Below are 26,299 nucleotides of genomic sequence, written 5' to 3' on the forward strand. Positions count from 1 at the left end.
ACAAATGCAAAATGTGTAACTCTTCCTCCCAAGGCAATATTTACATTTTTGACCGGAGACCATCTTTTCACATGCACCCCAAAAAATAACTAAGGATAGAATTTTGAGAATGATGTAGACGAGTAAGAAAGAAACCTGGGGGCAGGGCTGTTCTGAGTGAGACCCTCAAATCACGGAAGTGGCTGCTGCTGCAAACCCAGCTCATTTCTCACCTCTCAGTCCCAAGAGGGGATGAAGCCTGTCACCCATGGTGGGAACTGTAGAAAGTGATGTCAGTTCTTGGGAACTGAGGCTGTGGTCCAGGTCATAATAAAAACAAGTAAAGGAATGCCAAAAATGGCCATGCCATTAAGCCTGTTTTACACATAGTAGGCACACGTAGGGGTTATATAGAGAAAGAGCCAGAATTCAAACCCGGGCAGTCTTAACTTCAGAGCTCATACTGTCGACCTCTTCCCCTGCACAGGCCTTAGCAGTCTTTGTCTCTTTCTGCTCACAGGATCGGCTTCGCCATCGCCCGGCGTTTGGCCCAGGACGGGGCCCATGTGGTCGTCAGCAGCCGGAAGCAGCAGAATGTGGACCAGGCGGTGGCCACGCTGCAGGGGGAGGGGCTGAGCGTGACGGGCACCGTGTGCCATGTGGGGAAGGCGGAGGACCGGGAGCGGCTGGTGGCCACGGTGAGCTGCAGGGAAATGGGCACAGAGCCAGGAGGTGGAAAACGGAGCCAGCCTGAGCCTCCTTCCCTGCTTTCCTAGACAGCAGCACATTTTTACTGTGTGCCTTTCTATTATGTCCATATACTAACGTCAGAGAATCATCCCATCTCAGTCAGAGAATTTTAAAACATTCTAATGCTTCAACCCTGCATCATCCCTTGAGTACCCCAAAGAAACAGCTGGTACTGGTTCTGCAGTAATTTTCAATCTAATTGAACAGATGTGAAGGGTAAATACAATCACAAAATACATGTTCCCACCCATGAGTTAATAAACATTCCCCTCTTCTTCAGCTTATAGAGTCAAGTCCCTGGGAACCTCAGGAAGCAGCCCACCATGTTTCAGCCACTTACTATGTGCCATTTCCTGTGTTCAGAGCCTTACACAGGTTATCTCTAGACCTGACAACAACCCAAGCAAGGCAAGGACTATTCTCTCAGTCTGCAGACCCTGGCTCAGATAGCTGGAGCAACTTCCCAAGGTCCCACAGCCAGTAAGGAAAGACCCAGACCTCCCAGGCTCCCTTCCTTTATTGGCTGCCTGTGGACTACCGGGTACTGGACTTTAGTCTCAAAGAAAGTATATAAGTCGATGTCAGAATTAGTAGTGGACACCAGCCTTGCAGCTGCTGAAGCAAATATGAAGCATTCACAAAGGAAGCTCCTCTTCCCTTGAGGCTCACGGCATACACTTTATTTCCCAGAGTGGAAGGGAGAATCTACCCAAAAATGGAAAGTACAGGATTCTGCTAACAGATTGGAAGGTTGGCAGAAATAATTTGCATAATCTTAGAAGAGGAGGATCTTAAGCAATAGTAGACAGTAGTATGGTAGACAGAATAGGGTAATTCCATTTTTAAGGAACTGTCTGGCAAATGCTCAAATGTGCATTGGAAAGAGCCAAATATGAGTCCAAGAAAGTCACAAATGTGAGTCCAAAAAAGCTTGGCTTAGGCTGATGGACAGACCCCAAGATTGGGGCCTTGATCCTGATGGTGGAAGGAGCCGTTTGGGAGTCTGGATCAATTAGCACTAACCATATGACATGTAGCAATGTAATGTGAAAATCCTCCCGGAAAAACATCCTGTGGCCCCCACCAGGTTCACTTAACATGGCCTACAGGCCTGGCCCAGAGGTGGTACTTGAGCTAAACCTTAAGGAATGGATGGGAATGGACAGATGGAATAGTGATGAGGTTCCAGATAACTCTGCAAAATGAGCAGACAGCCAAGGAGGAACTGAAGGAAACAGAGGAGCACTGTCAGGCCACAGTGGAGAGCACAGGCTCAGGAGTACTGCTGGGGAAGGGGCTGCATTGGAAAGATAGAGGCCATGGGCCTCCATATCCTTTTTTTTTTTTTTTTTTTTTTGAGACAGAGTTTCATTCTTGTTGCCCAGGCTGAAGTGATATGGCACAATCTCAGCTCACTGCAACCTCCGCCTCCAGGTTCAAGCAATTCTCATGCCTCAGCCTCCCGAGCAGCTAGGATTACAGGCATCCACCACCACGTCCAGCTAATTTTTGTATTTTTGGTAGAGACAGGGTTTCACCATGTTGGCCAGGCTGGTCTTGAACTCCTGACCTCAGGTGATCCACCCCCTCGGCCTCCCAATGTGCTGGGATTACAGGCGTGAGCCACTGTGCCCGGCCATAGCTTCTTAAAAGGATACGTTAAGGACCTTAAAAGGATATGGCCTCTTAAAAGGATATGTTTACACACCCTTGTAGCAAATAAGAAGCCATGTGAGGTTTTGAGCAAGAGAAAGATGGTTATTAGGAAAGCTAATCTGGCTCTGGTAGGAAGGATATACAGAGGAGACACCGAATCCAGGGCATCAGTGAGGAAGCTGTTGCTGTCCTCCAGGTTTAGAGCAGTGGCGGTGGGACTGGAATAGATGTGCCCAAGAGACATTCAGTGGAAACGAACCAAGATTTTCCAACCCCATGTCAAAAAGTGGGAAATAGAGAAGTCAAAAATGACTCTCAAGTAGTTTGTATGACCATTGTCAGAGAGGAGAATGATAGAATACTTGTCAGCAATTTGAAATGTCTTCTGCCAGTTGCCACATGTTACCCTGCAATGAGAAAAGCCACTTTCCTGAGAATGGATACTACCCAGTGGCCTCCTCATCTGGACACCACGAAGCTTCTCACTGGTGTTGTAAGTGGAAACCAGAGTAGCTGCCTATCTCCTTGATTATATTTTTTCTTAAAAATGTATAACTATCAGAACACAGAACAAACAGCTCCTAACCGCTTTGGTGTAGTGATCACACAATTTAGAATAAGACTTAGAAGACTTTCCTTTTTTTTTTTTTTCCAGAGACAGGGCCTCCTTCTGTTGCCCAGGCTGCAGTGCAGTGACATGATCATAGCTCACTGTAACCTCGAAGTCCTGAACTCAAGCAATCCTCCCACCTCAGCCTCCCAAGTGGCTAAAACTATAGGCATGCACCACCACACCAGTTCATTTTTTAAATTTTTTGTAGAGTTGGGGCTGTATTTCCCAGGCTGTTTTGAACTCCTGGCCTCAAGTGGTCCTCCCCACTGGGCCTACCAAAGTGCTAGGATTATAGGTGTGAGCCACCACACCCAGCCTCATTCATCTTTTATGGTTTGCTGTCTCTGTTCAATCAAAACCCAGCCTCCTCCCATCTCTGTGCTGACAGACCTGGAAGGAGAGGAGTATGGGGTATACAGCAGAGTAGAAAATGTCTCCAGGTGATTCTAGAGCAATCCATTGTCTCCTCCCAGCCCAAACACATGTGTACTGAGCACGGCGCACATCACTTATTAACTTACTCTGCACCTCCCTAGTAACAAGTCCATTGGTGAGACTTACACAGAGCCAAGGCAGGTGACTTGGCTTTGTGCCAGGATACCAAAATTTAAAGGGTGCAAGAAAGTATTAATACTGGTTTTAAAAGATTATGTGACTGTAAATTTTGTTAGATTTACACATTGACAGCCCAGCATTCCTTCAACTGTCTAGAAACAACTGAGCTTAGCACCTAGTTAACAAGAATAATTAGTTAAAACGGGAAGCTAGCAGATGGTGTACATTGTTAGTAACACCCCTCTGTGTGCCAAATCCGGAGCACAAAGTTGACCGAGGGCCCGTGTACTGCAACTTGCCCAAGGCATCAAAATTGCCAGTTCCGGGCAAACGGAAAGTCTGGTTTCAGGGTGGCTTTGTACTGAAAACCCTTGTTGGCAGATTCTGCTTGGCCATTCATTACTCTAGCACAGGCCTCACTATCTACTTATAACTTATTAAGGAGGTGAGATGTTGCCTTTCTTCGCCTTCTCAATTTAAATTTCAGTTTCTGCCTTGAATCTTTCATGCCTCCAGGTCAAAAGAGAGAGACAGAGACAGGGAAAATGACATCATAACCAAATATGGAATTGCTTTAAATTCAGGCTGGTATCTTCTCCCATCACGGCTCTCCTGGGCAACCAGTTTCCTGATGACCCCAACTCACTTTCAGAGGGCTCTTATGAATTAGCTCTGTGCTACAAAGTGGGAGACTGACCTCAGTTCTTCCACCACTAACTAGCTTTGTGCCCTGAAAACATCACTTCACCCCTCCCAAACACAGAATAAGCAGGCCTCCTGTTCTTACCTAGCCCCAGTGTGCCACTACTGAACTATAAGATCTTGAGAAAATTCTCTGAACCTATTTCATCATCTCCACCTTAAGGACACTGGAATAGATGATCTCAAAGGCCCCTCCAGGGTAACTTTCTACAGCTCTATTTAAGCCAGTTTTTCCATTCAGGTAAGTGTGGACAGATTGACTTTGAGATAATGGTAACTTATTCAAGGAGAACTGGACAGTAAGCACTTGGAGAAATGTGGGTGGAACTCAGTGTGAAAGGAAGAGGAGGGGTCTGGAAATAGATTTTGGGGTGAGACTTGAAATCATGAGAATGAAGGAGCTTCCCAAAGGGGAAGTGTAAAGAAAAGAGCGTCAGAGACAGCCTTGGAAGAATAGGAGGTGGGAAGAAAACACTGCAAAAGAAATAGGGCCAACTTCCTGGTGGGTCGCGCCTGTAACACTTTAGGATACTGAGGCAGGTGGATGGCTTGAGCCCAGGAGTTCCAGACCAGCCTGGGCAACATGGCAAGACCCTGTCTCTATAAAAAATACAAAAATTGCCCGGGTGTGGTGGCACGCACTTGTAGTCCCAACTACTTGGGGGGCTGAGCCAAGAGGATGGCTTGAACCCAGTAGGTCAAGGCTGCAGTGAGCTGAGAACATGCCACTGTGCTCCAGTCTGGATGACAGAGCAAGACTCCGTCTAAAAAAGAAAGAAGCCAACCTTAAATGGTTAGCGGCAGATCTTAGGGTAGTTTTCAAAAAAGATGTTTTAAGAAATAGAAGTTATTTTGACGATAGTTCCTAAGTAGGAAGATTTTGTTGTCATTGTTGTTGTTGTTTTTAATATAAAGATAAGGTCTCGCTGCATGGCCCAGGCTTCTCTCAAACTCCTCAGCTCAAGTGAGCCTCCCACCTTGGCCTCCCAAAGTGCCATGATTACAGGCATGAGCCACAGCTCCTTGCCCAGAAGGAAGTTTTTATCAACATGGGTAAATGCACCTCCCTTACTTACTGCAGCCCTGGTCCAGAACTTACCCCTCTCTCTAGGCTGTGAAGCTTCATGGAGGTATCGATATCCTAGTCTCCAATGCTGCTGTCAACCCTTTCTTTGGAAGCATAATGGATGTCACTGAGGAGGTGTGGGACAAGGTGAGAGGGGATTAAAGCAGGGGGGCCGGGGGGGGCGCCTTGGAACACATTCAGCACAAACTCCATCTGCTTTTAGAATGCATTTCTCAAGGGCAGTGTAAATGTGAGGACTCTTTGCCACGTGCCACACACCTGGAGCACACCTTGCAAAGGGCGGGTGGGGGTGGCTCTATCCCTGCCCTTCTCATTCGTTTCTGCTACTCCTAGTTCTCTCTGCTTCTATCTGCTCTTCACTAGCCACAGTCTGCTCCTCTCCCCAGGCTTTTTCCCTGGCATGCTCTTCTGCCTTGTTGATTTCCAACAGAGACGTAGGCAGCTAATATGCCAACAACTACAACACTTAATTTACACACCCACCTGTCCCCTTTTCAGCTGACAAAAAGTAATTATTTTTTACGAGTTGGGAAATATTAAATGCTGCTCCTTATTTAAAATACTAATTCTGGTGAAATGACCAGTTGCCACTTTATAACATACATCCTTTAAAAAAATAAAATAAAAACCTATATTATTTTCTTCTTAACTGCAATGTCAAGAAAATCTGAGATCCAGATGTCTAAATTCAAGTGGTAGAATATTGGGTTTTATGTGAAAGTGTATAATTACATTATATTCGTAATATATTTCACACACACTCTTTAATTACAAAGCTTTAATTAAAATATTTGTCTTTGTTTATTAAGGTTAATATTCCCACATGATTGGGAAATGCTAATTTTTATGATCTCCCATGGTTCTGCGTTTTACACTGATGTTGTATTAGTCTGTTTTGCATTGCTATAAAGGAATATCTGAGCTGGGCAATTTATAAAGAAAAGAAGTTTGTTTTGGCTTACGATACTGCAGACTGTACAAGAAGCATGGTGCCAGTATCTGCTTCTGATGAGGCCTCAGGAAGCTTACAATCATGGCAGAAGGAAAAAGGGAGCAAGTGTGTCACATGGCAAGACAGGAAGCAAGAGAGAGATACCAGTCTCTTTTAAACAACTAGTTCTGGCATGAAGTAATAGAGTGAGAACTCACTCACTGCCACAGGGAGGGCACCAAGCCATTCATAAGGGATCCACCCTCATGACCCAAACACCTCACACCAGGCCCCACCTGGAACACTGGTGATCACATTTCAACATGGGACTTAGAGGGGACAAACTTACCAACTATATCAGATGTCATCAAAATTTCTCAACACTAAAGTATCAGGTTGCCAAAATACTATGATTTATTTACCAGTGTTTCATACACATAAAGACCAAACTGCCAAAATGTTCTTCAGTGAGCTAGTTTTTGATTCTAGTTTGAGCTAGTTTGAGAGAAGGCTGGGCAACACAGCGAGACCTTTTCTCTATATTAAAAACAACAACAACAACAATGACAACAAAACCTTCCTTCTTAGGAACTATCATCAAAATAACTTCTCTTTCTTAAACCGTCTTTTCTTCAAAACTACCCAGAGATTTGCTGCTAACCATTTAAGTTTGGCTTCTTTCTTTCTTTTTTTAGACAGACTCTTGCTCTGTCTTTTTTCCTTTTTTTTTTTTTTTCCCTCGCTGTGTCATTGAGGCTAGAGGGCTGTGGTGTGATCTCAGCTCACTGCAACCTCAGCCTCCCAGGTTCAAGCGATTCTTGTGCCTCAGCCTCCCAAGTACCTGGGACTACAGGCATGTGCCATCATGCCTGGCTAATTTTTTGTATTGAGATGCGGTTTCACTGTGTTGCTCAGGCTGGTCTCAAATTCCTGGCCTCAACTGATCCCCACACCTCAGCCCCCCAAAATATTGGGATTGCAGGCATGAGCCACCACACACAGCCAGATTCTGATAGTCTTTAAAATAGAGGAGCATCATTCATGAACAGTCTGAATAGAGACCATATGAAAGTCAGTTTTAAACTAAGTACAGGCACGCCTCAGAGATATTGTGGGTCTGGTTCCAGGCCACCACACAATAAAGTGAATATTATAATAAAGTGAGTCACATGAATTTTTTGGTTTCCCAGTGCATATAAAAGTTAGGTTTACATTATAATGATCATCTAATGGAAGTCTATTAACTGAGCAATAGCATTATGTTTTAAAATATATATACGTATCTTAATTTTAAAATACTTTATTGCTAAAAAAATGCTGACAATCATCTGAGCCTTTACAACTTGTAATCTTTTTGCTGGTGGAGGATCTTGCCTCAACATTGATGGTGGCTGACTTAGGGTGGTGTTGCTGAAGGCTGGGGTGGCTGTGGCAGTTTTTTCAAATAAGACAGCAGTGAAGTTTGCCACATCAGTTGACTCTTCCTTTCACAAGAGATTTCTCTGTAGCATGCAATCCTGTTTGATAGCATTTACCCACAGTAGAACTTCTTTCAAAATTGGAGTCAATCCTATCAAACTCTACCACTGCTTACTCTACTAAGTACCTATAATATTCTGAATCCCGTGTTGTGATTTCAACAATATTCATGGCATCTTCACCAGAAATAGATTCCATCCCAAGAAACCACTTTCTTTGCTTATCCGTAAGAACCAGCTCCTCAGCCATCTACATTTTATCGTGAGATTGTAGCAATTCAGTCCCATCTTCCAGCTCCGCTTCTAGTTCTCTTGCTATTTCCACCACATCTGCAGTTCCTTCCTCTGATGCAGTCTTGAACCCTTCCACGTCATCCATGAGGGTTGGAATCAACTTCTTCCAGACTCCTGTTAATGTAGATATTTTGACCTCCTCCCATGAATCACAAATATTCTTAATGGCATCTAAAATGGTGCATCCTTTACAGAAGGTTTTCAGTTAACTTTGCCGAGATCCATCAGAGGAATCACTATCCATGGCAGCTATAGCCTTACAAAATGTATTTCTTAAATAATAAGTCTTGGAAGTCAGAATTACCCCCGATCCATGGGCTGCAGAATGGATGTTGTGTTAGCAGGCATGAAAACAACATTAATCTCCTTGTACATCTCCATCAGAGCTTTTGAGTGACCAGGTGCATTGTCAATGAGCAGTAACAGTTTGAAAGGAATCTTTTTCTGAGCAGTAGCTATCAACGGTGAGCTTAAAATATTCAGTAAACCATGCTATAAACAGATGTGCTGTTATTCAGGCTTTGTTGTTCCATTTGCAGAGCACAGGCAGAGTAGATTTAGCGTAAATCTGAGGGCCCTAGAATTTTCAGAATGGTAAATGAGCATTGGCTTCAACTTAAAGTCACTGGCTGCATTAGCCCCTAACAAGAGAATAAGCCTGTCCTTTGAAGTTTTGAAGCCAGGCATTGACTTCTCCTCTCTAGCTATTAAAGCCCTACATGGCATCTTCTTCCACTAGAAGGTTGTTTCATCTACATTGAAAATCTGTTGTTTGCTGTAGCCACCTTCATCAATGATCTTAGCTAGATCTTCTGGATAACTGGCTGCAGCTTCTACATCAGCACTCGCTGCTTCATCTTGCACTTTTATGTTACAGAGGTGGCTTCTTAAACCTCATGAACCAACCACTGCTAGCTTCCAACTTTTCCGGAGCTTCTTCACCTCTCTCAGCCTTCAAAGAATTAAAAATTAGGGCCTTTTACTGATTAGGCTTTGGCTTAAGGGAATGTTGTGGCTAGTTTGATCTTCTGTCCAGAACATAAGAACTTTCTCTCCATATTAACAATAAACCTCTTTTGCTTTCTTATCATTTATATGTTCAGAGAAGTAGCACTTTTAATTTCCTTCAAGAATTTTTCCTTTGCATTCACAATTTGGCTAACTGGTGCACATGGTCTAACTTTCAGCCTGCCTCAGCTTTCAACATGCCTTCCTCACTAAGCTTAATTGTTTCTAGCTTTTGATTTAAAGTGAAAGATGTGTGACTCTTCCTTTTGCTTAAACACTTACAAGCCATTGTAGGGTTAATAGTTGGCCTAATTTCAATGTAAATGTGTCTCAGGGAATATGGAGGCCCACAGAGAGGGAGAGAGATGAGAGAAGGGCAGAGCAGTCAGAACACACAACATTTTTCGATTAAGTTGACCTTCTTTTCTGGGTGTGGTTTGTGGTACCCCAAAACAATTATAATAAAACCATGAAAGATCACTCATCACAGATCACCGTAACAGATACAATAATAATGGAAAGGTCTGAAATATTCCAAGAATTACCAAAATGTGACCCAGAGACAAAGTGAGCACATGCAATTGGAAAAATGGCTCGAATTAATGCAGGGTTGCCACGAAACTGCAATTTGTAAAAAAAAAAAAAAAAAAAAAAAAAAAAAAAAAACACAATATCTGCAAAGCATAAGAAAATATGTGTCTATAACTTTTCTTTTAATTTGTATATTTTTTAAACTATCACAGTATGACAAATCCAAACATAATGGCTGATCCTTGATTGAACTCTGGACTTTAAAAAACACACACACACATTTGGGGGATAATTGAGGCCAATATGTTAGATAAAATTATCATCATTGTCAAACTCTTGGTTGTGATAACAGATTATGGTTGTGTAAAAGAAAATCCTTACTCTTTGGAAATGTATGCTAAGTATTTGGGGATAGAACATTGTACTATCTGCAACTGAGTTTACTTATTTTATTTTAGGTTATTTATTTATTTTTGTGATGGAGCCTCACTCTGTTACCCAGGCTGGAGTGCAGTGGTGCTATCTCAGCTCACTGCAACCTCCACCTCCCGGGTTCAAGCTATTCTGCTGTCTCATCCTCCTGAGTAGCTTGGATTACAAACACATGCCACCACGTCTGGCTAATTTTTGTATTTTTAGTACAGACGAGGTTTGCCATGTTGCCCAGGCTGTTCTCGAACTCCTGACCTAAAAGTGATCCACCCATCTTGGCCTCCCGAAGTGCAGGGATTGCAGGCATGAGCCACCATGCCCAGCCCTGAGTTTGTTTTTTTTTTTTAATTTACATTTTTTTATTTTTGTTCTTTGTAATTTTTGATTTTATTATATAAAATCTTTCAGAAAACTTGCAACTGAGTTTCAATGGTTCATTTAAAAAACTGTACAGATCTACAGAGAGGACAAATAGGACAAAATGTGAACAATTGGTGAATCTAAGTGAAGGATATCTAGACATTCATTGTACTTCTATCTCCAATTTTTCTGTAAGATTGAAATATTTTAATATAAGCAGTTGTCTAGAACAGTGTAAACAGGGTCATACATTTGTTTTAGATTATGGATGTGGGGATTCTGATTGTAGCCTGTCCCCCAGCTTCCCCAGAAGGTGACTCCTCATGATCCCACTTTCTAACCATGCCTAGCCAGACAGTCCTTCCTAGAGGGCCAAGAACATCTCACTCCCTAAGCCCAGAAGCCAGAGAAGTGCTAGAACAACCCCACATATCCAAGGTCAGGCCACATTTTCCCTGAGAAGCATGGCCTACTCTAGGGCAGGTAGTCTAGGGCAGGTCCAGGAGGCTGACAATTCCAGGCTCTACCTACTTGGAAGAAACAGAGAAAACACAGCTCAAATCCAAAGGCCCCTTCTGGCCCAAATCATACTTGGCTGATTATGAAACAAGATGAACCAGGCTCCATTTTTGCTCACCTGAACCTAATGTATCAATATCTAGCTGAGCAGCTGGTGAGAGCTACTTCTCCCTGAACCTCAGTTCCTTCATGTGTAAGATGCAGGTATATCATCCTAAGATCTTCGTCAGCTCTGACAAACATCCTAGGAACCCACTCTAACTCCTCATTTTTTCATGCCTCCTCCAGTGCTCTTCACTCATGCTGTTTCCCCTTCTTCTCTTGGCTTCAGACTCTGGACATTAATGTGAAGGCCCCAGCCCTGATGACAAAGGCAGTGGTGCCAGAAATGGAGAAACGAGGGTACAGAGAGTGAGAGAGAGCCTGGGTGAGAGGGGACACCACACGGGCTGAGGGCACTGGTCCACAATGGGAAGATGGTCAGCTCTCTTCTTTTTCCAGAGGCGGCTCAGTGGTGATCGTGTCTTCCATAGCAGCCTTCAGTCCATCTCCTGTAAGAACCCTTTTGTCTACCTCTTCCATCCCACCCTCCACTCCACATCTTTCCACCCCTCCTATTACCCAAGGAAGTTTGTGTCCCCTTGTAGAATCACACCACCAAGTCCCTGCCCACAAAATAGATGCCTTGCCTCCACAAACCACAACCTAGGGGAGGTTTAGCCACAAGACAGTTCCCTAACTCTGCCCCTCCCTTACAGGAGATCCCTATTGAGCACTGCCCTCTATGTCTAGTTATTAGAACCAAGAATGACCTGGAAACTATGAGTCTAACACATTCTCTTCTTTCTCCAGGGCTTCAGTCCTTACAATGTCAGTAAAACAGCCTTGCTGGGCCTGACCAAGACCCTGGCCATAGAGCTGGCCCCAAGGAACATTAGGGTGAACTGCCTAGCACCTGGACTTATCAAGACTAGCTTCAGCAGGATGGTGAGGAAGGGGAGCTTTGCATTTGACTGGGACCCCTTGAAAGGCATCCATCTTCTTGGACAGGGAAGCCCACTACCTGAGTCCTGAGCTCTCAGCCACTCCATTCTCCTTCCCTGGACTTTCCCATATTCCCTCTCTGTACCACCTGCCCTATACAAGCCACACTCTTATCACACCTTTTCTGAGGTATAGGCTGGAGACTGAGGTATTCAGACTGTACTCACACTGTTTCCTCCCTCCTTACATGGATGAGAATTGGAGAGACGCAGCAAAATGCATCACTAGAACCTGAAACAAATGAAACAGATGAGGGCAGTGGGGAGAGCTGGGAGCTAGAAAAAAATAGGAAGTGAAAGAGGGAAGTCTCTCTCCCCATCCCTCCTCTCAGTTACCATGAGGATGGGCAGTTTCTTCCCTTTCCGTTCTTCACTTTCCTCTTCTTAAACATAAAGAGATTTCTGGGTGGGGTGGCTCATGCCTGTAATCCCAGCACATTGGGAGGCCGAGGCGGGCAGATCACGAGGTCAGGAGGTCGAGACCATCTTGGCTAACACGGTGAAACCCCGTCTCTACTAAAAATACAAAAAATTAGCCGGGCGCAGTGGCGAGCGCCTGTAATCCCAGCTACTCGGGAGGCTGAGGCAGGAGAATGGCATAACCCGGGAGGCGGAGTTTGCAGTGAGCCAAGATAGCGCCACTACAGTCCGGCCTGGGCAAAAGAGCAAGACTCCGTCTCTAAAAAGAAAAAGAAAAAGAAAAAAAAAACATAAAGAGATTTCCCTTCTTCCTGCAGCTCTGGATGGACAAGGAAAAAGAGGAAAGCATGAAAGAAACCCTGCGGATAAGAAGGTAAACTGTCATGAGGGCAAGGGCACTAAGAGACATGAAGATGGGAAGGTCTGGTCCCTAGCAGCCCACAGCCCGCTGTCTCAGTCCCACAGATAACACAGGCAGGCTCTCTTCTGCCTCACAGACCACGAATTCATAAACACTATCACTACAGTGACCTGAGCAAGAAGTCAGCTTCCCTTTCAAAAGGTAAACACAGAGACATCGGGGTTTCAGCAGTGCAGAGCTCTGGGAGAAGCCCTGAGTCCTCTCTCCACCTGGGGGATTGCCTCCACCTCTGAGCATCCATGGAGACCAGGGACCATAACCAAAACCATGCTTTGTTAGTCCCCTTGAATAATGACACATGTTTACAAAACTCAGGTTGATGATCTACAATCCAAATGAAAAGAATGAAGAGTTTTACTAAGCCCCAAACTCCCCTTGCCTAAGGAGTTACTTTCTTCCCCAGTGAGCTGGGTGAACTGTTCAAGCACCTTTGTCGGGCTCCCTTTCCTCTAAGTTCCCTGCCTCTCTCTACCTTCTGGCTTCAAGGACAAATGCCAGTAATGCCTAACTCTGTACTCGTCCAGACATCCCAAATCTTCCCAAAGCCATTCTGATGTGAGACATGAGCTGCAGGCCTGGTTCATAACTCATTAATAAGTGAGGGGATTGTCAACCTAGAGCACCAATGAATGATCTAGCCCATGTAGCTCAATACTGGATTCACATTAGAATCACCTGGGGAGCTTTTTAAACTGCAGGTGCTCAGGCCCCACCCACTCCCAGAGATTCTTTTTAATTGGTCCAAGGTAGGACTTGACCATCTGGGCTTTTGTTTTTCTTTGTCTTTTCTTTTCTTTTCTTTTTTGGTTTAAGCCTCTCAAATGATTGCAAGATACAAGTAGAATGGAGAAGCATTAATTCAGCCCTTCTAGGTTTGAGTTACTCACTCTGCCCACCTCTAGAGCATTCTATGGCAGGGAGATTAAAGTGTCTCCTAACTATGCAGTCACTGATAAAATAAGAATTAGCACATTCTCACTAAATGAACCTGACTTTAAGGCACAAGTATAGATTCCTGAAAAAGTTCTAAGCTGAACCTGTACAAATGGAATCATTTTAAACACACCATTTACTGTCACACAGACTCCCTGATACTTTAGTGTGTGCACATGTGAAACCATTTTTTTGAAGTATGAAATAATTGCTCACCATTTTATCTATATAACTTTGGATTTTGGTGTCCTGAGCTCTCTAAAAACCGGTGTGTTTCTATAGTATTTGAATATTATGGGTAATAGTTTTGCAGAGTACAGTATGCTTATACTAAATTATAACAGCATATCCTCGTGGTAACCCTATTTGATAGGCAGAAAGCTTGTACACTGACCCTGAAAAAGCCATCTGATAATTCTTGATTAAGCAAATTTAACTCCCTGTGTCCCAGGTGAGGGAGGCAGAACTGTTTGATTTTTACCTCCTTCCTTGCTTCCCTTATTCCCCAGGTTAGGCGAGCCAGAGGATTGTGCTGGCATCGTGTCTTTCCTGTGCTCTGAAGATGCCAGCTACATCACTGGGGAAACAGTGGTGGTGGGTGGAGGAACCCCGTCCCGCCTCTGAGGACCGGGAGACAGCCCACAGGCCAGAGTTGGGCTCTAGCTCCTGGTGCTGTTCCCGCATTCACCCACTGGCCTTTCCCACCTCTGCTCACCTTACTGTTCACCTCATCAAATCAGTTCTGCCCTGTGAAAAGATCCAGCCTTCCCTGCCGTCAAGGTGGCGTCTTACTCGGGATTTCTGCTGTTGTTGTGGCCTTGGGTAAAGGCCTCCCCTGAGAACACAGGACAGGCCTGCTGACAAGGCTGAGTCTACCTTGGCAAAGACCAAGATATTTTTTCCCGGGCCACTGGGGAATCTGAGGGGTGATGGGAGAGAAGGAACCTGGAGTGGAAGGAGCAGAGTTGCAAATTAACAACTTGCAAATGAGGTGCAAATAAAATGCAGATGATTGCGCGGCTTTGAATCCAATTGACCTGTTCATTTCTCAGTGTTGGGTGCTTAGCTGAGCAGAGAGCAGAAGTCTATTCAGGCTGGATCTCTGGATCCCCCAGCCCTCCTCCCTGTCTCCAGAACTTGAGCGTGATGTTCACGGGTGGAGGTGTCTGCAGAGCTGCCAGCTGGAAGGAAGGTGGCACGGGAACTCCCAGGACGCCACGGGAATCCCCGAGGCAGCGCGAGCCCGGAGAGAGTGGGGAAGGATGAACTCTCTAACACCTCCCCGCCCCTTGCCTCCCAGATCAGGCCAGGTCCTCTCCCCGCATGGCCCTACGACCCGAGTTCCCTCCCGAGTCAGCAAGTACAAGCTGGATGGGTCCTGAGCCGGTGGGGAATAGAGAAAGGCCCTGCAAGGTACCCAGGCCCACAAACAAAAGCAATGGGTTCTGCCCACGGGCCCGAGGATTCAGTAGAAGGAAAGTGGGGACGCTGTCCCCCGCCCCAAAGGCACTGACACTGGGCGACACACGCTGAGCCTCTCACGCCGACGGGCCTCTCACGCCGGAGCCGGCAAGAAAGGTCGGCGCCAGCCCGCGGGCTCTCAGGAGGCTCGGCAGCGCGACGCGCATGCTCAGTCGGGCAGCTCTCCGGGCCGGCGTGGGAGCCCGCGCTCCAAGGCCCGGTGGGGGGAGGGGCGCTCACGCAACCGCCACTGTCTGGAGCGGGCTCGCCTCTGCGGCAGCCCTCACCGCCCGGGCTTTACTGAAGCGGAGTCTAGCATGTGCGGCTGCTCCACAGCGGTGTGGGTGGCGGCGGCTCCTCTGCAGCAGCCTCGGCAGTAGGGGTCAGGGTGGCCAAGCCCACCGTGGAGCTCATCTGAGAGTTGTAAGGTACGGGACTGCCTCGGTCTTTGGGACGCCCCGTCTGGTAGCATCCCAGATCCAGCACGTTCCTTCCGGCCCTGCACCCCGGCCCGGTGCCTCACACCCCGCTACCCCAAGCATCCAGACTCTAAGGCAGCCCCTGCATCTCAGTCCTGACATCGCTGTCCCTGGAGCATCCTCCGCTGGAGCTGGAGCTTGACAGGTAGGGTGGAGAGGGCGGTGGGGGGCGGGGGGCCGAAACTGCATCAGTTAACGGGGCCGTGGGGGAGGGAAGTCCTCCATTGCTAAGGCTTCAGTAGGCGTTCTATGATCACAGTGTAAACAAAGCTGCAGGGAAGCTCTAACTGGGCGGAACCCACCGCAGCTCAGCAAGGCCTACTGCCTCTCCAGATTCCACCTCAGGGGCCAGGGCATATCTGAACAAAAGGCAGCGGACAGCTTCTGCAGACTTCAGTGTCCTTGCCTGACATCTCTAAAGACAGCAGTGGTTCTCCCAGCACGGAGTTCGTGCTCCGATAACGGACAGACTGCCTCCCCGAGTGGGTCCCTGACCCCCATGTAGCTTGACTGAAAAACACCGACCAGTAGGGGCGGAGAGACACCTCATACAGGTGGGTGCCCCTGTGGAACAAAGCTTCCAGAAGAAGGATCAGGCAGCAATATTTGCTGTTCTGCAGCCTCCTCTACTGATACCCAAGAAAATAAGGTCTGGAATGGACTTCCAGCAAACCCCCAAAGACCTGCAGCTGAGGGGCCTGTTAGAAGGAAAACTAACAAACAGAAAGGAATAGCATCAACATCAGCAAAGGACAGCATCAACATCAGAATAGCAAAGGACATCCACACTAAAACCCCATCCATAGGTCACCAACATCAAAGACCAAAGGTAGATAAAACCACAAAGATGGAGAGAAACCAGAGCAGAAATGCTGAAACTTCCAGAAACCAGAACGTCTCTTCTCTTCCAAAGGAATACAAGTCCTCACCAGCAAGGGAACAAAACTGGATGGAGAATAAGTTTGATAACTTGACAGAAGTTAAGCTTCAGAAGGTCAGTAATAACAAACTACTCCCAGCTAAAGGAACATGTTCTAACCCATTACAAGGAAGCTAAAAACCTTCAAAAAAAGGTTAAACGAATGGCTAACTAGAATGAAGAATGTAGAGAAGAGCTTAAATGACCTGATGGAGCTGATAACCACAGTACAAGAACTTCATGAAGGATACACAAGCTTCAATAGCTGATTCAATCAAGTGGAAGAAAGGATATCAGTGATTGAAGATAAAATTAATGAAATAAAGTGAGAAGACAAGATTAGAGACAAAAAAATAAAAAAGAAACATTCAAATTCAGGAAATACAGAGAACATCACAAAGATACTCCTTGAGAAGAGCAACCCCAAGACACATAATTGTCAGACTCAGCAAGGTTAAGGGCAGCCAGAGAGAAAGGTTGGGTGACCAACAAAGGGAAGCCCATCAGACTAACAGCAGATCTCTCAGCAGAAACCATACAAACCAGAAAAGAGTTGGGACCAATATTCAACATTCTGAAAGAAAAGATTTTTGAAACTAGAATTTCATATCCAGCCAAACTAAGCTTCGTATGTGAATGAGAAATAAAATCCTTTGCAGACAAGGAGATGCTGAGAGATTTTGTCACCACCAGGCCTGCCTTACAATAAGAGCTCCTGAAGGAAGCACTAAACATGGAAAGGAACAACGGGTACCAGCCACTGCAAAAACATACGAAATTGTAAAGACCATTGATGCTATGAAGAAACTGCATCAATTAATGGGCAAAATAACCAGCTAACGTCATGACAGGATCAAATTCACATATAACAATACTAACCTTCAATGTAAATGGGATAAATGCCCCAATTAAAAGACACAGACTGGCAAATTGGATAAAGAATCAAGACCCATATGGTGTGCTGTATTCAGGAGACCCATCTCACATGCAAAGACACACATAGGCCCAAAATGAAGGTATGTCTGGAATTGGTGGGTTCTTGGTCTCACTGACTTCAAGAATGAAGCTGCGGACCCTCGCGGTGAGTGTTACAGTTCTTAAAGGCAGCGTGTCTGGAGTTTGTTCCTTCTGATGTTCAGACATGTTCAGAGTTTCTTCCTTCTGGTGGGTTCGTGGTCTTGCTGGCTTCAGGAGTGAAGCTGCGGACCTTCGCAGTGAGTGTTACAGCTCTTAAGGCAGCATGTCTGGAGTTGTTCGTTCCTCCTGTCTGGAGTTGTTCATTCCTCCTGGTGGGTTCGTGGCCTCACTGGCCTCAGGAGTGAAGCTGCAGACCTTCACGGTGAGTGTTACAGCTCATAAAGGCAGTGTGGACCCAAAGAGTGAGCAGCAGCAAGATTTATTGCAAAGAGTGAAAGAACAAAGCTTCCACAGTGTGGAAGGGGACCCAAGCGGGTTGCTACTGCTTGAAGGGGTGGCTTGCCCCTCCACACCTGTGGGTATTTCTAGTCAGGTGGGACAAGAGACTGAGAAAGAGAAATAAGACACAGAGACAAAGTATAGAGAAACAACAGTGAGTCCAGGGGACCGGCGCTCAGCATACCAAGGACCTGCACCGGCACCGGTCTCTGAATTCCCTCAGTTTTTATTGATTATTATCGTCATTATTTCAGTAAAAAGGAATGTAGTAGGAGGGCAGGGTGATAATAAGGAGAAGGTCAGCAACAAACGTGAGCAATAGAATCTACATCATAATTCAGTTCAAGGGAAGGTACTATGACTGGACGTGCACGTAAGCCAGATTTATGTTTCTCTCCACCCAAACATGTCGGTGGAGTAAAGAATAACAAGGCAGCATTGCTGCAAACATGTCTCGCCTCCCACCATAGGGCAGTTTTTCTCTCATTTCAGAATTGAACAAATGTACAATCGGGATTTATACCGAGACATTTAGTTCCCATGGGCAGGCAGGAGACAGTGGCCTTCCTCTATCTCGACTGCAAGAGGCTTTCCTCTTTTACTAATCCACCAGAGCACAGACCCTTTATGGGTGTCAGGCTGGGGGACAGTCAGGTCTTTCTCATCCCATGAGGCCATATTTCAGACTATCACATGGGGAGAAACCTTGGACAATACCCTGCTTTCAAGGGCAGAGGTCCCTGTGGCTTTCTGCAGTGCATTGTGCCGCCAAGGCCACACCCACCCAGAACTCGTGCTGGCCTGCAAGTGCTGCGCACAGCCCCAGTTCCCGCCCATGCCTCTCCCTCCACACCTCCCTGCAATCTGAGGAAGCCAGCTCCAGTCTCAGCCAGCCCAGAAAGGGGCTCCCACAGTGCAGCGGCGGGCTGAAGGGCTCCTCAAGCGTGGCCAGAGTGGGTGCTGAGGCTGAGGAGGTGCCAAGAGTGAGCGAGGGCTGCCAGCACACTGCCACCTCTCAAAGGGATGGAGGAAGATCTACAAAACAAATGGAAAGCAAAAAAAAGCAGGGATTGCAATCCTGGTCTCTGATAAAACAGACATTAAACCAACAAAGATGAAAGGAGACAAAGAAGGCCATCACATAATGGTAAGGGGATCAGTTCAACAAGAAGAGCTAACTATCCTAAATATATATGCACCCAATACAGGAGAACCCAGATTCATAAAGCAAGTTCTTAGAGACCTACAAAGAGGCTTAGACTCCCATACAATAGTAATGGGAGACAGTAACACCCCACTGTTAATATTAGACAGAAAACATGACAAAATTAATAAGGATGTCCAGGACTTGAACTCAGCTCTAGACCAAGTAGGCCTAATACACATCTACAGAACTCTCCACCCCAAGTCAACACAATATACATTCTTCTCAGCACCACATCACACTTATTCTAAAATTGACCACATAATTGGAAGTAAAACACTCCTCAGCAAATGCCAAAGAACAGCAATCACAACAAACTGTCTCCCAGACCACAGTGCAATCAAATTAGAACTCAGGACTGAAAAACTCACTCAAAACTGCACAACTACATGGAAACTGAACAACCTGCTCCTGAATGACTACTAGGTAAATAACAAACTGAAGGCAGAAATAAACATGGTCTTTGAAACCAATGAGAACAAAGACACAGTGTAGCAGAATCTCTGGGACACATTTAAAACAGTGTGTAGAGGGATATTTACAGCACTGAATACCCACAAGAGAAAGCAGGAAAGATCTAAAATCAACACCCTAACCTCAAAATTAAAAGAACTAGAGAAGCAAGAGCAAACAAATTCAAAAGCTAGCAGAAGACAACAAATAATGATGATCAGAGCAGAACTGAAGGTGATAGAGACATTAAAAAAAAAACCTTCAAAGGATCAATGAATCCAGGAGCTGGATTTTTGAAAAGATCAACAAAATGGACTGCTAGCAAGACTAATAAGGAAGAAAAGAGAGAAGAGTCAAATAGACACAATAAAAAATCATAAAGGGGATATCACCAGTGATCCCACAGAAATACACACTACCATCAGAGAATACTATAAACACCTCTATGCAAATAAACTAGAAAACCTAGAAGAATTGGATAAATTCTTGGACACATACACCTTCTGCAGACTAAATCAGGACGAAGTTGAATTGCTGAATAGACCAATAACAGCTTCTGAAATTGAGGCAATAATTAATAGCCTACCAAACCAAAAAAGTCCAGGACCAGATGGATTCATAGCCGAATTCTACCAGAGGTACAAAGAGGAGCTGGTACTATTCCTTCTGAAACTATACCGATCAATAGAAAAAGAAAGAATCCTCCCTAACTCATTTTATAATGCCAGAATCATCCGGATATCAAAGCTTGGCAGAGACACAACAAAACAAAGAAAATTTTAGGCCAGTATCCCTGATGAACATCAATGCAAAAATCCTCAATAAAATACTGGCAAACCGAATCCAGCATAAGGATGCATTCTCTCACCACTCTTATTCAACATAGTATTGGAAGTTCTGGCCAGGGCAATCAGGCAAGAGGAAGAAATAAAGGGTATTCAATTAGGAAAAGAGGAAGTCAAATTGTCTCTGTTTGCAGATGATTTCACCGTATATTTAGAAACCCCATGATCTCAGCCCAAAATCTCCTTAAGCTGATAAGCAACTTCAGCAAAGTCTCAGGATACAAAATCAATGTGCAAAAATCACAAGCATTCCTATATGCAAATAATAGACAGAGAGCCAAATCATGAGTGAAGTCCCATTCACAATTGCTACAAAGAGAATAAAATACCTAGAAATCCAACTTACAAGGGATGTGAAGGACCTCTTCAAGGAAAACTACAAACCACTGCTCAAGGAAATAAGTGAGGACACAAACAAATGGAAGAATATTGCATGCTCATCGATAGGAAGACTCAATATCATGAAAATGGCCATATTGCCCAAAGTAAATTATAGACTCAATGCTATCCCCATCAAGCTACCACTGACTTTCCTCACAGAATTGGAAAAAACTACTTTAAATTTCATATGGAACCAAAAAAGAGCCAGTATAGCCAAGGAAATCATAAGCAAAAAGAACAAAGCTGGAGGCGTCACACTACCTGACTTCAAACTATACTGCAAGGCTACAGTAACCAAAACAGCATGGTACCGGTACCAAAACATATCTAGACCAATGGAACAGAACAGAGGCCTCAGAAATAATGGAACAGAACAGAAGCCTCAGAAATAACACCACACATCTTCAACCATCTGCTCTTTGACAAACCTGACAGAAACAAGCAATGGGGAAAGGATTCCCTATTTAATAAATGGTGCTGGGAAAACTAGCTAGCCATATGTAGAAAGCTGAAACTGCATGCGTTCCTTACACCTTATACTAAAATTAACTCAAGATGGATTAAAGCCTTAAATGTAAGACCTAAAACCATAAAAACCCTAGAAGAAAACCTAGACAGTACCATTCAGGACATAGGCATGGGCAAAGACTTCATGATAAAAACACCAAAAGTAATGGCAACAAAAGCCAAAATAGACTAATGGGATCTACCTAAACTAAAGAGCTTCTGCACAGCAAAAGAAACTATCATCAGAGTGAAAAGGCAACCTACAGAATAGGAGAAAATTCTTGCAATCTATCCATCTGACAAAGGTCTAATATTCAGAATCTACAAAGAACTTAAATAAATTTACAAGAAAAAAAATAACCCCATCAAAAAGTGGGTAAAAAGTATGAACAGAAACTTCTCAAAAGAAGACATTTACACAGCCAACAGACATATGAATAAATGCTCATCATCACTGGTCATCAGAGAAATGCAAAGCAAAACCACAATGAGATACCATCTCACAACACTTAGAATGGCAACATTAAAAAGTCAGGAAACAATAGAAGCTGGAGAGGATGTGGAGAAATAGGAAGGCTTTTAGACTGTTGGTGGGAGTGTAAATTAGTTCAACCATTGTGGAAGACACTGTGGCCATTCCTCAAGGATCTAGAACCAGAAATACCAATTGATCCAGCAACCCCATTACTGGATATCTACCCAAAGGATCATAAATCATTCTACTATAAAGACACATACACACATATGTTTATTGCAGCACTGTTCACAATAGCAAAAACTTGGAACCAACCCAAATGCCCATCAATGATAGACTGGATAAAGGAAATGTGGCACATGTATACCATGGAATACTATGCAGCCATAAAAAAGGATGAGTTCGTGTCCTTTGCAGGGACATGGATGAAGCTGGAAATCATCACTTTCAGCAAAATATCACAAGGACAGAAAACCAAACGCTGCATCTTCTCACTCATAAGTGGAAGTGGAACAAGGAGAACACATGGAAACAGAGAGGGGATCATCACACACCAGGGTCTGTTGGGGGCTGGGGGGCTGGGAGAGGGATAGCATTAGGAGAAATACCTAATGTAAATGACGAGTTGATGGATCCAGCAAACCAACCTGATACATGTATACCTATGTAAAAAACCTGCACGTTGTGCACATGTGCCCTAGAACTCAAAGTATAATAATAAAAAAAGAAATTCTAGATAGAGCAATATCTCACAAAATTAATAATCCATTCCATTTAAATAGACTATATCAGTCAGCCTCTGGCACCTACAAATCCATTCACTGTTTTCTTTTCTGGGTTCTTTTTTAAGTAAATAATTGGCTTACATTTAAAATTTAAATATTTCCTATTGCCATCTGGATTTCTAGCTTCTGTTTAAATACCCCAAGGGCTGGCAGTGCTGAGCCAGCATTCTCAATGACAAACATGAGTGGAACTGGGTGTGCCTCAGATCTGCAAGTTGCAGTTCTGCAAGTTGGCCACTGCGACCTAAAGTGTGTTACCATTTTATCACTGAGCTTAAGCCACCACCAAAGTTTAAGCCATTCTATATACTATGCATAAGGGAGTAGAGCAGCAGGTAAATTCACTTTACGGGGAAAAATTCATCAAAACTGCTTAAATCTGTGAAAATAAATAAAATTTAAAAGCTGTGGGAACCCCCAAAATCACTTTAAGCCTTGAGACGTGACTGTGATCTGAGTCGTATGTGGTTATAACTTCTGTTCTCAAATTATAGATGAACTAGCTTTCTTATTTTTCTTCTTCTGTACAATGACTAGAGAGAATTAAATGACATCATGGAAAAAAACCTCTGGCCTTCTTAATTAATGACCCTTGTTGTATATTAATTTCCCATTGTTGTCCTGCTTTGCTTAGACCAGATGACAAAAACCCACAATTATTGCACCCTCTAAAAAACATGTTAATTGTATCCTTCCCAAAAATAAACACTGCGTATAACTGATCAAATGGCTGTAACTATGTGCCAACCTTGTACAAATAATGTTATAATTTTGCTAAACACTCCTCTCTCTCTGGATATAAAATTGAAACCTTAACTTCTCCACTTCAGAATGCTGACTGCATTCCTTTGGATTTGATGTTTCCAGATGGTCCATCCTCACACTTTGCACTTCAATAAACACTCCTTAAATTCAATTCTCACCCTTTTATTATTTTAGGTTGACAAATCTTTTTTAAGGTAATTTGACCATCATAGCCATCAATTTAAAACTTTGGCCCAGCGTACAAATGTATTTGTACCAAACACACAAAAATACATATTCATCCAGTGTTGTTCACCATAGCATTGTTTGAAATAGCAAAACACTGGAAGCTACTTAAATATCCATCAGTAGGAGACTAGCTAAATAAATTATGGAATAGCCACACAATAGAATACTGTACAGCTATTTTATAAAAGAAGAGAGAGAATAAAGTAGGTCTATTATGTACCACTCATTAGCCAAGAATGTATTTTAAAAAATAAAAAGGGTGGCTGACAAGATGACCAAATAGGAACAGCTCCAGTCTGCAGCTCCCAGCGAGATCAATGCAGAAGGCAGGTGATTTCTGCATTTCCAACTGAGGTACCTGGCTCAACTCACTGGGACTGGTGAGACAGTGGGTGCAGCCCATGAAGAGCCAGCTGAATCAGGGTGGCCATCACCTCACTCAGGAAGCACAAGGGGTCAGAGGACCCCCTCCCCTAGCCAAGGGAAGCTGTGAAGGACTGCGCCATGAGGAATGGTTATGAAGCCAAACTAAGCTTCACAAGTGAAGGAGAAATAAAATCCTTTACAGACAAGCAAATGCTGAGAGATTTTGTCACCACCAGGCCTGATGTACAAGAGCTCCTGAAGGAAGCACTAAACATGGAAAGGATCAACCAGTACCAGCCACTGCAAAACCATACCAAATTGTCAAGACTATTGACACTATGAAGAAACTGCGTCAACTAATGGGCAAAATAACCAGCTAGCATCATAATGACAGGATCAAATTCACACATAACAATATTAACCTTAAATGTAAACAGGCTAAGTGCCCCAAGTAAAAGACACAGACTGGCAAATTGGATAAAGAGTCAAGACCCATCATTGTGCTGTATTCAAGAGACCCATCTCATGTGCCAAGACACACATAGGCTCAAAATAAAGGGATGGAGGAATATTTACCAAGCAAATGCAAAGCAAAAAAAAGCAGGGGTTGCAATCCTGGTCTCCGATAAAACAGACTTTAAACCAACAAAGATCAAAAGAGACAAGGCCATTACATAATGGTAAAGGGATCAATTCAACAAGAAGAGCTAACTATCCTAAATATATATGTACCCAATACAGGAGCACCCAGATTCATAAAGCAAGTGCTTAGAGACCTACAAAGAGACTTAGACTCCCACACAATAGCAATGGGAGACGTTAACACCCCAACACCCCACTGTCAGTATTAGACAGATCAATGAGACAGAAAATTAACAAGGATATCCAGGACTTGAACTCAGCTCTAGACTAGGCAGACCTAATAGACATCTACAGAACTCTCCACCCCAAGTCAACAGAATATACATTCTTCTCAGCACCACATCGCACTTATTCTAAAATTGATCACATAATTGGAAGTAAAACCCTCCTCAGCAAATGCAAAAGAATGGAAATCATAACAAACAGTCTCTCGGGCTGCGGTGCAATCAGATTAGAACTCAGATTAAGAAACTCACTCAAAACCACACAACTACATGGAAACTGAACAACCTGCTCCTGAATGACTATTGGGTATATAATGAAATTATAGTAGAAATAAATAACTTCTTTGAAACCAGGGAGAACAAAGACACTATGTACCAGAATCCCTGGGACACAGCCAAAGCAGTGTTTAGAGTGAAATTTATAGCACTAAATGCCCACAGGAGAAAGCAGGAAAGATATAAAACCAACACCCTAACATCACAATTAAAAGAACTAGAAAAGCAAGAGCAAACATATTCAAAAGCCAGGAGAAGACAAGAAATAACTAAGATCAGAGCAGAACTGAAGGAGACAGAGACAGGAAAGAACCTTCAAAAAAACCAGTGAATCCAGGAGCTGGTTTTTTGATAAGATCAACAAAATAGATAGACTGCTAGCTAGACCAATAAAGAAGAAAAGAGAGAAGAATCAAATAGGTGCAATAAAAAATGATGGAGGGGATATCACCACTGATCCCACAGAAATACAAGCTACCATCAGAGAATACTATAAACTACTCTATGCAAATAAACTAGAAAATCTGGAAGAAATAGATAAATTCCTGGACGAATACACCCTCCCAAGACTAAATCAGGAAGAATTCAAATCCCTAAATAGACCAATAACAAGTTCTGAAATTGAAGCAGTAATGCATGGCCTATCAAACAAAAAAAAGCTCAGGACCAGACGGATTCACAGCTGAATTCTACCAGAGGTACAAAGAGGAGCTGGTACCATTCCTTCTGAAATTATTCCAAACACCAGAAAAACAGGAACTCCTCCCTAACTCATTTTATGAGGCCAGCATCATCCTGATACCAAAAGCTGGCAGAGACACAACAAAAGAAAGAAAATTTCAGGCCAGTATCCCTGATGAACATCATTGAGAACATCCTCAATAAAATACTGGCAAACTGAATCCAGCAACACATCAAAAAGCTTATCCACCATGATCAAGTTAGCTTTATTCCTGGGATACAAGGCTGGTTCAACATAAGCAAATCAATAAACATAGTCCATCACATAAACAGAACCAATGACAAAAACCACATGATTATCTCAATAGATGCAGAAAAGACCTTTGACAAAATTCAACAGCCTTTCATGCTAAAAACTCTCAATAAACTAGGTATTGATAGAACGTATCTCAAAATAGTAAGAGTTATTTATGACAGACC

General features: G+C 43.9%; 2 protein-coding genes and 2 long non-coding RNA genes across 13 annotated transcripts in view, besides 1 other annotated feature; 2 read left to right on the forward strand and 2 right to left on the reverse strand.

The window, feature by feature from the left end:
* The window catches only part of DHRS4-AS1 (DHRS4 antisense RNA 1), a 16,382-nt gene extending 15,805 nt beyond the window's left edge, over positions 1-577 (reverse strand). The window contains exon 1 of the long non-coding RNA NR_023922.2: positions 213-577. This is a non-coding gene — a long non-coding RNA (DHRS4 antisense RNA 1). The remainder of the gene's footprint in view (positions 1-212) is intronic.
* DHRS4 (dehydrogenase/reductase 4) overlaps positions 1-14,744 on the forward strand; it is a 15,510-nt gene extending 766 nt beyond the window's left edge. The window contains exons 2-8 of one of the 8 annotated variants that reach the window (NM_021004.4): positions 500-677; positions 5,367-5,468; positions 11,227-11,297; positions 11,397-11,448; positions 11,748-11,882; positions 12,676-12,731; positions 14,222-14,744. In NM_021004.4, coding sequence (NP_066284.2) covers positions 500-677; positions 5,367-5,468; positions 11,227-11,297; positions 11,397-11,448; positions 11,748-11,882; positions 12,676-12,731; positions 14,222-14,336 — 709 coding nt within the window. In that variant the 3' untranslated portion in view covers positions 14,337-14,744. Of the gene's footprint in view, positions 1-499; positions 678-5,366; positions 5,469-10,042; positions 10,432-11,226; positions 11,298-11,396; positions 11,449-11,747; positions 11,883-12,675; positions 13,149-14,221 lie in introns of those variants that run through there. The other 7 variants (NM_001282988.2, NM_001282987.2, NM_001282990.2 and 4 more) reach the window with 7 other exon arrangements.
* LOC124903290 (uncharacterized) lies at positions 10,347-12,536 on the reverse strand. Its single transcript, XR_007064084.1, has 2 exons — positions 12,275-12,536; positions 10,347-12,170 (listed from the first exon to the last, which is right to left on the reverse strand). It is a non-coding gene; the product is annotated as an uncharacterized LOC124903290 (long non-coding RNA).
* DHRS4L2 (dehydrogenase/reductase 4 like 2) overlaps positions 15,339-26,299 on the forward strand; it is a 36,535-nt gene continuing 25,574 nt past the window's right edge. For 2 of the 3 annotated variants that reach the window (NM_001193636.1, NM_001193637.1), the window contains exon 1: positions 15,339-15,797. The gene's annotated coding sequence lies outside the window, so the exon portion shown is untranslated. The remainder of the gene's footprint in view (positions 15,798-26,299) is intronic. The other variant, NM_001193635.1, reaches the window with a different exon arrangement.
* Positions 15,480-15,529: a silencer, noted in NCBI's record as "silent region_5614". NCBI's record gives its function as "represses an Ori minimal core promoter by ATAC-STARR-seq in GM12878 lymphoblastoid cells {active_cell/tissue: GM12878}" and the evidence as "EXISTENCE:reporter gene assay evidence [ECO:0000049][PMID:35858748]".

This window comes from Homo sapiens, chromosome 14 (assembly GCF_000001405.40).
Source record: "Homo sapiens chromosome 14, GRCh38.p14 Primary Assembly".
Lineage (NCBI taxonomy): Eukaryota > Metazoa > Chordata > Mammalia > Primates > Hominidae > Homo > Homo sapiens.